Source organism: Homo sapiens, chromosome 17, assembly GCF_000001405.40.
Source record: "Homo sapiens chromosome 17, GRCh38.p14 Primary Assembly".
Taxonomy (NCBI): Eukaryota; Metazoa; Chordata; class Mammalia; order Primates; family Hominidae; genus Homo; species Homo sapiens.
In genome coordinates, this window is record NC_000017.11 from 6,499,130 (window position 1) to 6,511,608 (window position 12,479).

Genomic DNA, 12,479 nt, shown 5'->3' on the forward strand with positions numbered 1-12,479 from the left:
CCAAGCCCCCACACACAATGGTTCCCTTGGCTTCCTCTAGTTTGGTTTCAAATATCAGGCTCACGCCAGTGACAGCAGGCTGCCAGGCTGCCAGGCCGCCTGCCCAACTGCACAATGAAGGCTGGGGCTGCCTGGCAGCCACAAAGGAGAAAGTCTCCAAGACACCCCTCCCCGCATAGCCACTGCAGACAAGCCCTTGCAACCTCATACCTGCGCATGCCTGAGAGGCCCATGGAGACCTCCCTCCCCACACTTGCAACCCAAGAGGCCCTGTGCTGTCTGGCTGGCTCATGTCCTCCTCTCTGGGGACTCCAACTCTTGGGGAAACACTGCTGTGACAATGGCAACTGAGGCAGCCGCAGGACCAGTAGAGCGCCAGAAAGACTGAGCCCCACTTGATAAGATTCATCATCACATGGGGACCAGGTGTTCCAGCTTCCAAGGCACATCCGTCCAGTAACAAGTGACAACCATCAGAACTTTCTATCCAGCCTGTGCGGATCCTAGTATCTCACAGATATCATCTCTGGTGCCCTCAGCAACTCTAAGAAGTAGATGATATGGCCATCTTTTCTTTTATTTATTTATTTATTTATTTATTTATATTTTATTTTATTTCTGAGGCAGAGTCTCACTCTGTTGCCAGGCTGGAGTGCAGTGGCACAATCTCGGCTCACTGCAACTTCCACCTCCTGGGTTCAAGCGATTTTCCTGCCTCAGCCTCCCAAGTAGCTGGGATTACAGGCGCATGCCACCATGCCCAGCTAATTTTTTGTATTTTAGTAGAGATGCGGCTTCACCGTGTTCCCCAGGCTGGTCTCGAACTCCTGAGCTCAGGCAATCTGCCTGCCTCGGTCTGCCAAAGTGCTGGGACTACAGGCATGAGCCACCGCACCTGGCACGACAGTATGGTCATCTTTCCACAACTGAGTAAACTGAGGCTGAGAGACATCAAGTAACTTGTCCAAAATGTCACAGCTACTAGACGAGAGAAGCTGAGTGTCAAACCCAGGCCTTTCCAAACCTGCAACCCCAGACACCATCACACCAGTCCCAGCATGTTCTGACTCCTGGTTCCAGGGCAACTTTTACCACCTCGCAATTTGTTTTTAGTGAGTTTTCAAAAATCCAGTGGAACTATTAAATAAAGTATACTTGCATGCAAATTGTCTTATGTGGAAAAGCGCCATTATAAATGCAAGCCATTGCGATTCTTCTTGTTTTAATTCAGGTCACAGATTTTTTCTTCTGCCAATTTTGCATTAAAAATAAACACATTACCATCGATCGTCACCATCATTTCATAAAAGAAAAAGCATTTTAATGCCAAAACTGGGCAGGACATAATTGTAGAATTATGTGAAAAGGAGTCCTCTCAATTGAATGCACTCAACATTATGGAAAAATACATCACAGTATTATTGTTTTTCTCACTGCTGAAAATCTTGGGTTCATTTGGGCATCCCCAACCTAGACAACCTCCAAGGTACCATTTCAGCTCCAAAATTCATCTGCACATACGCTGTCATTCTTTGCTAAATAAGAACACTCTTTTTTTTTTTTTGAGATGGAGTCTCACTCTGTTGCCCAGGCTGGAGTGCAATGGCATAATCTTGGCTCACTGCAACCTCTGCCTCCTGGGTTCAAGCAATTCTTCTGCCTCAGCCTCCCCAGTAGCTGGGATTTCAAGCATGCACCATCACACCTGGCTAATTTTTGTATTTTTAGTAGAGACAGGTTTTCACTATATTGGTCAGGCTGGTCTGGATCTCCTGACCTCAGGTGATCCACCCACCTCAGCCTCCCAAAGTGCTGGAATTACAGGTGTGAGCCACCACGCCCAGCCCAATAAGAACATTCTTAAGGAGCAGAATTTGATGACAGCCTTCAGCAATAGAATTCTAACTACTTAAACACACATTTTTCTTCAGCCAGGTCCAGAGGTCACTAAACATCTCATCAATTCAATTGTGTCTGTGGAAAACAGAGCTGTGGTTTGGCATCCCGGAGACAAGCCCCATGTCGGGTGGCTGTTTTTGCTTCGGGGCTGCCGCTGTCTCCTCTGGCCAGGTGCTCAGAAGGGGAGATGATTGGTTCTTTTCCTCTTCTGCATTCCTGGGGAATGGGGTGACACCCCTATATTCATCATGCTTGTTATTTTATAATGTTTTGACATCTCTGGGGCCTCGCTGGCCAGGAAGAGACTGCCCCTCCCAGAGCTGGCTAATTCCTAGAGGTAATAACAACTCCCTTTGAGGGCACCTTTCATAGGCAAATGAACCAGGCCCAAACCCATATCCCCAACCACCTTCTCTAACTCTCACCCACCAAGCCAATACTTCCCTGGCCCTAAATCAACCCAAGGCCAGCTACCAGGCAACGGGACACCAGCCCTAGAGCCTAGAGCCCAGAGCCCTCGACATGCAAATCAGCCAGCCCTGCATGGTTCTCCTGCTCTGCCCTGCCTTTCCAGAGAAAAAACCAACAAGGGCTCTGGGCCTTGCAGCTTTGGGGGGCTCAGTCCACTCTGCCCACCACCTCCCTGGGCTCAGGTCTGCAGCCACTCTGCAAGCTCTTCCATACCTCAGTTGCTATTTTCTGAGGTGGAGGCGCCTGTGACACCAGCCTTCCTATGGCCTGGAATCCAGCCTTGAGTTGGATTCCTGGCCCTTCTGTCTCCTGACCAAACCAAGTGCTTCCCCCGTGGCCTTGCATGGTGTGGAATGGCCCCATCTCTCAAAACCTGAGCTGAAAATGTTTTGATGACATGAGCCTCTCCACATGCTCAGTCACCTCTACACTAAAGACCCACAGGTAATTTTAACACATTCCCCTTGTGCTGAGCTCAGTTCCTTACACCCCTACGAGTGCTCAGGAAAGAGAACTGCCCTCTCTCTGCCCTGCCCTTTCCATGGCCTGATGCCCTTATGGCCTGAGCCTTGGGGTGCCCCTGACAAAGGCATTCACACTTACCAGCCCCTGAAGGGCTTTGTCTATGAAATTGCCATTGAATGCTAGAAGCAGAAAAAGGTTCTCCATGTAGGGTGTGGTGGCTCACGCCTAAAATCCCAGAATTTTGGGAGACCAAGGCGGGCAGATCACCTGAGGTCAGGAGTTCAAGAGTAGTAGCCCGGCCAACATGGCAAAACCCCATCTCTACCAAAAACACAAAAATTACCCGGGCATGGTGGCCGGCGCCTGTAATCCCAGCCACTCAGGAGGCTGAGGCGGGAGAATGATTTGAGCCCGGGAAGCTCAAGAGGTTGTAGTGAGCCGAGATCGTGCCATTGCGCTCCAGCCTGGGTGACAGAGCAAGACTCTGTCTCAAGAAAAAAAAAAGAGAAAGATTCTCTGGCAGGGGATGCCTGTGCAGCCACTCAAGGCTGGGTTCCAGGCCATAGGAAGGCTGGTGTCATAGGTCCTTCCACCTCAGCACAGCAACTGAAGGATGGAAGAGCTTGCAGAGCAGCCACAGGCCTGAGCTCAGGGAGGTGGTGGGCAGAGTGGACTGGGTCCCCCAAAGCTGCAACCATAGATCAAAGGAGCAGGAGAGAGAAGTCAGGAAAGTTCTGAGCACAACCCCACCCCAAACACACATGGAGTCCTCTCCTGACCCAGCCACATATGGAAGTCAATACTGCCAACAGCAAAGACATTTGGCCCAGACATTGGCCACCGAGTCCTCCCAGAACATCCAAGGAAGATGTCCTGAGGTCACTATGTCAGCAAATGGCCACATCTCGACCAGGTCTTTCCCAGGTCCAATGCTGTGCTCATCTCTCTGAGAAAACACAGGGGGAAGGAAACCTGGAGACGCCTGTATAACACAGAGGACAGGGACTCAGCCACAGGGCCATGGGCTCTGCAGAGAGGTAGCCTCTTCGTGGAGCAATACTGAGGATCATCACCCCGGGCACATCCAGGAATGAAGTGTCTCTGAACCTCATTCAGTCATGTCAGTCACCATGGCACCGTCAGTGGTTCCTGGAAGTTGTGTCACCCAAAAGTGATGGGCACAGGGGCCATGTTCCCCATCCCCGTCCTCCTCTCTCTGTCCTCATGCCATGATCTCAGCTGCTCTGCTGAGCTCACACTCCCAACCCACCAGCCTCCCACCCCTCACTCTGGCCCTGTGGAGTCCCCAGAGAGGGGGACATGAGCTGGCCTGAGCTGCCCAGTGATAGGAACTCAGGAACCCGAGGAGGCTCAGTTCATGGGTTAGAGAGGGCCCAAACTCAGGCTGAGTGACCCCAGGCCCTCCGGTACTGCCTGCAGGCAAGATGGCAGGGATCCTGCCATCCTTTCAGGCTCTGAGTGGATGAGAGGGGACCCAGGCTCAATGAGCTTGCACCCATCCAAGGGGAAGAAATGACCCCACAGGGTCAGGCTTGACTCACGCTGCTTCTCCTGGAGGATGCTGGATGTGCACGGCGCGGTCCCTTCTCCTGCAGAAAAAGAAAAGAAACATGAGCAGATCCTTGACACTGTTGCCAGGCACTGTGTTTCCCAGGGAGGCTGCTTGGAGCTGCCTCTGACCCTCACTCTAGAGCTTGGGATGGGCAGAAGTATCTCCTACCACTTCATGCCCTGCTCTGCCCTGACCTGACCTAGCCCTTGGCCCTTCATGCCACACCTGATGCCATTTCTGGGGAGAGTACGGCCTGGCTCCTCTGCCTCCTCAGGCGTTTTCACCTCTGTCTTGTCCTCCAGCTCCTCCTCTCCTCCCTCCTCTATAAAGCAGCGGCTTCCCAGGAGCTGCCTGCCTCTCTATACTCACTCTCTCCTCTGAGGGTCCACACTGAACTCCAAGCCCACAAACCACTGCCAGGGCTCTGCCTCTGGCCCAGGCCTCTCCCCTTAGCTCTGGATCTGCATATCCCACTGCCCCCCAGACGTCTTCTGTGGCCACTCCCAAACACTGCACACTCCCCATGACCAAAGCTTCCCTAGAAGTCTGCGGCCCCTCCCAAAATGTGTCTGTGGCTTCCTCTAGGGCCCCAGGTCTCTGAGGAAGGTTTCCAAGGCAGAAAGCGAAGTCACCTCCTGGTCTCCCCAAGGGACTCGAGAATCCTTCCCCATGCAAAGCTACCTCATTTCTTCCCCTACAGAACTGAAGGGCAACTCCAGTCTAAGAACCTCCTCCATCTCCACAGCCCACACTCCAGGGCCTGGTAGATGACTCCTCTCCTGACCCCATGCCTGCCTCTCACAACCCCGTGCCTGCCTCTCACATGAAACTTCTCCAGGTGTTCATCAGAATGAACTTCTCCAGGTGTTCTCCAGATGGATTCATTAGAATCCATCACCCTGTTTCTGTAGCCCTCTGCCTGCCAGGGCCATCTTCATGGCCCACGTCCCCTGAATCCTGGGGTCATGGCCCCCGGGCTCTCTCAAAAGCAGGCAGGGGTAAACAATGGGAAGAGTGTCCAGCTGGAATCTGGAGGCTGACTCCATTTTAGGCTCCCTCTGGCCTGCTGTGTGATGTAAGGCACAGCACTCTCCCTCTCTGGGTTCATTCCTACAAGATAGCACGGATCCAGTGCTCGCTAAGAACCTCCAGGTCCTGAAAGCCCTTGAGTGACACTGCATTATAATTGGATACCTGGATTCAAATGCCAGCTTCTTCACTTACGAACCATGCACCCTTGGGCAAGTTACACAACCTGTATATGCCTCAATCTTCCAATCTATAAAATGGGGATAGTACTGGTACTTGCCTCGGAGGGTTACTGTGGATATTAAATGATTAATATATGTAAAGCCGGCTAGGCACGGTGGCTCATGCCTGTAATCCCAGCACTTTGGGAGACAGAGGTGGGCGGATCACCTGAGGTCAGGGGTTTGAGACCAGCCTGGCCAACATGGTGGAACCCTGTCTCTACTAAAATACAAAAACTAGCCAGGCGTGGTGGCGCATATCTATAATCCCGAAGCTACTCGGGAGGCTGAGGCAGGAGAATTGCTTGAACCCAGGAGGTGGAGGTTGCAGTGAGCCGAGATCACGCCACTGCACTCCAGCCTGGGTGACAGAATGAGACTCCGTCTCCAAAAAAGAAGACAAATAAAATATATATATATATATATATGTAAAGCCTTCAGAACACAGTCAGGCACAAAACAGGTGTTCAATAAGTGAGGATGGCTCTGATTCTTGTTTTATTTACTTGTTTACTTCTAACCATTGATTCAAGACCTTGTCCCTTTTGTCTTCATCATGATCCCAGGTGCAGCCAGATAGAGACAATCAATGGTTAATGCTAGATGCCAGCTCACAGCACTCCCTAGACCTAGGGGCCGTGACAAAGCCTAGGCCCAAGAGGGGCCCAGATAGAGAACAGAGACCTGGACACCGTCATAGAGCAGTCCCCACACAGCACAATAGGATGGACGCAGACTGTTTCCCAGGTGCAACAGCAGCACAGATGTGGACAGAAACAAGGAATGACCCAGTATCCAATACACAGGTCAGGGAGCGAAGACCAGCACCATGTCTGAGCACCAGCTAAGGCCCATGAAACTCTGGCGTCCCTAAGAAGTCAACTTTGACCACCCAGCAGAGCTGGGGCCTAGCAGAGAAATTAAGACATAAGACATGCATTCAAAAAACGCCTTCTATGGGCCAAGCCCCATGCTAGGGGCCATGGAGGATACAGAGATGAGGAAGTCAGAGTGAGTGAGGAGCAAGAACACCTCTGTGCAGAGAAGCACACGGCTAACTGCAATGAGAGGCGAGACCGGCGGGGAGAGACGGGGAGGGAAAGATTCATTCTGACTGAGGACTCCAAGGAAGCTTGTGCCAGAGCAGAGATTTCAGTTTTGACAGTAGAGGAAAGGGCATGGCATTCCAAGCAGCCAGCAAGATCATGTTTATGGAATGCCAAGTTCAAGGCAAAGCGGGGGTGTGAGAGAGCATGGTCCCATTTACAGATAAGAAGGAAGGAAGGCAGGAAGCCCATTTACAGATAAGAAAACCAAGGCCTGAAGAGGTGAAGGAGCTTGCAGACTCTTCCAAATCCAAACCTCCTGCTTTTTCTATCATACTCCACCAAAACCAGCTGCATAATGAGGAAGGCCTCATGCAAAAAGGAAATGCCGGGTCCCTTGTTCAAACAGAAAAAAAAAATGTTGCTAAAGGTACTAAAATATAACATTTTTCCTTTTCCCTGAGGATGCTCTAAAACCTGTTATGGTGTTTTCTTTCTTTCTCTCCTTCCTTCCTTCCTTTCTATTCTTTTCTTTTCCTTTCTCTCTTTTTTTTTTTTTGACAGAGTCTCATTCTGTCACCAGGCTGGAGTGCAATGGTGCGATTTCGGCTCACTGTAACCTCCGCCTCCCAGGTTCAAGCGATTCTCCTGCCTCAGCCTCCCAAGTAGCTGGGACTACAGGCACCCGCCACCACACCCGGCTAATTTTTGTATTTTTAGTAAAGATGGGGTTTTACCATGTTGGCCAAGATGGTCTCAGTCTCTTGACCTGGTGATCTGCCCACCTCGGCCTCCCAAAGGGCTGGGATTACAGGCGTGAGCCACCGCGCCCGGCCAGTGTTTTCTATTTGCTACTGTATTTCCTCATGCCCAGGGAGACTTGAGGGATGAGTGCAGGCCCTCCCAGGCCCCAGGGTCCCTGCTCCTTAGCTTGGCACGTACACACAGGCTCCACCAGCACCCAGGATCCCCCTCCTGCCAGCCACTGGGCCAAACAAACCATGCTGTGAGTGACAGTTGGAAAGTTGAGCCAAGCATGCACCCCTCCCACAGGCCTGCTGGCCCCATCCAGGGTAGACAAGAGTATTGCAACCTCCATGCTGAAACGCACTAGTTGAGTGAGAGGTTTTTTCCCTCTGAATCACCCTTGGAATGCTCTATGGCACTGCCAGCCCAGGGTGGGGACAGCTGCCTCGCCCCAAGACATGGTGGAGTATAAGCACCTAACCTCAGCCCTGCCTGCTCCCAGGCTCTGGCTTGGAGGGAGGCCAGCGGCTGTCCATGGGCAGGGGAAGGAGAAGAAAGCTGGGTGGGGGTGGGGCTGAGAAGCCAGAGGGCAGGAGAGCAGCAGGCCAAGATCCCAGGAGGCTTCAAGGCGGCAGGAGGCAGGACCATGTGAGAGCCGCCCACCAAGTACCCCCACACATATGCACTGTCCCGTCAGACTTCACTCACAAAACACAAACTTGGCCGGGCATGGTGGCTCACGCCTGTAAACTTAGCACTTTGGGAGGCCAAGGTGGGTGGACCACCTGAGGTCAGGAGTTTGAGACCAGCCTGGCCAACATGGTGAAACCCCGTCTCTACTAAAAATACAAAAATTAGCTGGGCGTGGTGGCGCATGCCTGTAATCCCAGCTACTAGGGAGGCTGAGGCAGGAGAATCACTTGAACCCAGGAGGCAGGGGTAGCAGTGAGCCGAGATAGTGCCACTGCACTCCAGCCTGGGCAACGGAGTGAGACTCCATTTAAAAAAAAAAACAAAACACAAAAACACAGACTTGAAGATAACACCATTCGGACTTCAGAACAGCAAACCCAATACCTGCAGCCCTCTGGAGCACTGGCCCTGAGCCCTGACTATAACACAGACACTTCTGGCATTTCTCGGGCATCTACTATGTGTCAGGCCCTGGAGGAGGGGAGGACTCCAGCGCAGGGAGGAGCCGGGTCTGAGTCATTACCTCCACATTCTCATGCCAAGTCCATAGTCGGTACTCACGGAGACAGTTTATGAGTTCTCCAGACCATCCAATACTTTCATTACCAGGGTGTAAATATGACTTAGCCTGGGCAGGATGTCCAGAGGTGGGGAGGTGGGAAAGTTGGGGAGGTGGGCAAGGATGAGAGCTGGGGTTGCTGGGAATGCTGGGGATGCAGCTGGGGTTGCTGGGAATGCTGGGGATGCAGCTGGGGTTGCTGGGAATGCTGGGGTTGCTGGGGTTGCTGGGGATGCAGCTGGGGTTGCTGGGAATGCAGAGTTCAGAGGCCGGAAGAAGCTCGGGGACCCAGGTGCCAAGAGGCCAGGAGGTGAGTGTCCTGGAAACGCCAGTGCGCAAGCTTCACGTGGGTAAGAAGAGGGAAAATGTCAGAAAGGAGGTCGGGACCAAGCTCTGGGACTCCTCAAAGCCAGCCCTGAGTGCGGCCTCAGCTGCATAAGCCTTGAAGGCTGCACCTGGGCACGCAGGTGCTTTCTGGCTTGCCTAGTGCTTTCCCGCACATGAAATCGTTGGCTTCCATGCCTATGCAATAAGGCTGCTGAGCCTCAGCGAGGTAAAGTCACTTCCCCAACGTTGAGATCTGGTCCCTTGGACACCCCAATACTGGGAAGGGCTCTTCCCACAATTTCACCCCGCCTCCTATTGGTCGGGGGCTTCCTAGAGCAGTGGCTTCCCAGGACGGCTCAGGCAGCCTGGGTAGTGCTTCCTGGAGGAGGAAGGCATGGGACAGCGAAAGGCTGCCACAGTCAGGGGCTGAGGGGTGAGGAGGACGGGAGCAGAGAAGGGGACATTTGCAAGGGGTGCAGAGAGGATGCGTCCAGAGGCTTGGGGACTGGCTGGTGTTTGCCTCGGGCTTCGTCTCTCCTGCAGCGCAGCCTGAGCCAGGCATCCCAGGGTTCCCAGGGCTGGTGAGGCCACCGACGGGGTCAGGAATAAGCCTGCTGTTTGATGAGGTAAGTGTGGCGCCCGGACAGTAGGAAGCCGGGCTTGCCTGCCCAGTCCAAGCCAGCTCCATCTTCCCTGGAAACCGCCAGCGAGGGAGGAGCCGGCTTGAACCTGGCTTCCTGATTTAGCAGGCTCCCAGGACGAGGGTGATTAACCAACTGTGCAGCTGGCTCAGCTGCCACCTAAATGAGACCCCACTTAGCCTAGAGCTTTGCAAGGCTCATGGGCCTGACAGCTTTGCCTCTGCTGGAGCTTGTTTCAAGTGGAGGAGCTGCCAGAAACTCCTGCAGACAGGATGGGCTACAAGGAACTGGGAAGGCAGAGTTTTGTCATGCACCCCAGGCTCTGGGCCCCACCAATCTTGCCTGTCCTGAACTCACACAGCCCTGGAAGGCTGAGCCACATCATCTTTTCTGAGAAGATGCTTCTGAGTCCCGCTAACGGTTTCCTGAGTGATTTTATAACTCTTCTTCCAATCCCCTCCCAACAAATCATGAGTTCCCCAAGTGCAAGAGAAGCAAAGTGTGTGGCCAAGAACAGCAAAGTGTGTGGCAAACTTCTGAAACAGGAGAGCCTTCCTGCATCACACTGGAGAGTTGGTGGCTGCGGAGAGAGTGATTCAGACAGACGGGGCCTTGGAGAATAAAGAATTGGGAATTCTCCTGATAAACCAGAAAGTGTCAGGAACAGCCCCTCTGGAGCAGAGACAGGAGCCGCTGAAGCCGGAATTTGCCCTGGGCTCTCCCCTTACTGGGCATTGGGAGCCCTGGCCAGGCTCCGGGCCAGACTGGTGGCTTTGCTCATGAAGCCTGGCTGAGGAGCGAAGACCTGCATGCTCCCTCCCTGCTCAGGCCACTCCCAACATGGAGCCTCCCCTGCATGCTCCTCCCTGCTCAGGCCACTCCCAGCATGGAGCCTCCCCTGAGCTGCAGGTTGAGACTCACGCTCATTACCCTTCACCTGGCCCAGCGTAAGCCCCTGCACTCATTCCCCGGCCCCTCCTGTTCTCCTCCACATTGGCTTCTAGAATAATCTTTCTAAAAAGTGGCTCTCCGCTCCCCTGCTTAAACCATTCAGTGGATCCACAGGGGCACTCCCAAGAAGGCCCCTAACTCCTCAGCCTGGCATTCAAGGCCTTCATCTCCAGCTTTTCCACCCCTGCCTCTTTTCCAAGACCTCCCACCCCTTTTTACCACCCCCTAGCTCCACACCTCACCCCCAGCCCAATGCTCCACACCCCAACCTCAGACAGGACAAACTCCCCAAATCTCCATTCTTCCCATACCTTTTATTCTACGTCTTTCCCATGTCTTTTATTTCATCCGTATGGTATGTTACATCGATTGATTTTCACATACTGAATAACTTTGCCTTCCTGGGCTAAATTCCGCTTAGTCCTTGACAAATCTTGTCATCTCACTATTCTTTTATGCTTGGGGTTTTTATATCTCTTCCAGGACAATTTATACTAACAATCTATGAGCTGTCATTTAAGGAATGACAACCTCATAGATTGTCCAACCTCAGTCAAGACAAACTCTCCAAATCTCCCTGCTTCCCACACCTCCCTCCGTACCTTTGTCCCTGCAGCTCCCTCTGCCCTCACTGGTCTGTCCCAACCCCAGCAAAGCCTCCTTACCTCCTCATGTGGCAGCTCCAGCGCTACCTCCTCTTTCAGCCCTCTGTGCCTTGTTCCCCATCTTGTTAGAGCAATTAGCTCACTGGACTGTCACTGCCCCACCCCCGTCTGGGAGCCGGTCAATTCTGAGTCCACTTCTGAGTCATCTGTGTGTCCCCTGCAGTGACCAGCACAGGGTCTGACACAGAGTAAGTGTCCATTCCTGTGCATTGCATGCATAAGTGAGGGAAGGAATGTATGAGTGCACAGTGAGCCCCTCACCACTTTGGGCTCAGACAGGGAGGAAAGGGACACACCCAGAAAAGCACAGCTGTCAGCAGAGTGGTCCGTGCTACAGACAAGAGACCAACTCAGCTGTGCTGGGCATGAGGACAGTGGTCTGGGAGAGGCTGGAGTATCAAGGAGGCTTCCCAGAGGCAGCGCATGGGATTGTGGGAGCTAGAGATGAAGTCAGGGGAAGAGCCGGGGCAAAGGCAGGAAGCTGACGAGCTCCGCATGAGCCCAGGGATCTCTCTGCAAGCAGCCCCCTGGCCATTTGACTAGGAGACAGTGGGGGTGGAAGAGGAGGGGAGGGATGGCCAGGAAGCCATGAATATCAGAATCAGAGATAACCTTGGTATTACTGGGTTTAGCAACAATTTGACAGCCCCTTTATGTCCCTCATGGTAGCTCTCCCAGGGCTGTTTGATTCCTGTAGTGATAGGAAACTTACTAACTCTGGAAATTTATGATTGCTAGAAGGAAGGCTGGAACCACATTGTGGATGGCCTTCGGTGCCAGGTTGGGGGATCTATACTTCATACTGCAGTCAACAAAGACCTACTTGCCAATTTCGTGGCAGAATGATAGGACTGGATTTCTATTTTAGAAGTGTCGTGGTAGGATTGGATAAAGATGGTAAACTGACTACACGATCTAGTCTTTTTCTCCTCCTCCAGATCCCTAGAAAATGACATCAAGCATTTTTATGTGAATTAATCTTTAGTAGCACTGTAAAATAAGAAGTGTCCTTAGCAGACCAGAAACTGTGTGGCATCCCCAAAAGTTAGAAGGCAGAGAGATCTAAGGAGGGAGGCAGGACTGGTTACATAATTTTCAGGGCCCAGTGTAAAATGAAAATGTGGGTCCCTTTGTTCAAACTAATTAAAAATTTCAAGATGGCGACAGTAGAGTAGAAAATCAAGTGTGTGGA

At 52.5% G+C, this 12,479-nt stretch overlaps 1 protein-coding gene across 5 annotated transcripts in view, besides 1 other annotated feature; it reads right to left on the reverse strand.

Moving 5' to 3' along the window:
* PITPNM3 (PITPNM family member 3) overlaps positions 1 to 12,479 on the reverse strand; it is a 105,293-nt gene that overhangs the window by 47,867 nt on the left and 44,947 nt on the right. For all 5 annotated transcript variants that reach the window (NM_001165966.2, NM_031220.4, XM_011524015.4 and 2 more), the window contains one exon: positions 4,398 to 4,445. In NM_001165966.2, coding sequence (NP_001159438.1) covers positions 4,398 to 4,445 — 48 coding nt within the window. The remainder of the gene's footprint in view (positions 1 to 4,397; positions 4,446 to 12,479) is intronic.
* Positions 1,913 to 2,459: an enhancer, noted in NCBI's record as "H3K4me1 hESC enhancer chr17:6404362-6404908 (GRCh37/hg19 assembly coordinates)". NCBI's record gives its function as "activates a minimal SCP1, AML or CMV promoter by ChIP-STARR-seq in naive H9 embryonic stem cells {active_cell/tissue: H9 hESC(naive)}" and the evidence as "EXISTENCE:reporter gene assay evidence [ECO:0000049][PMID:30033119]".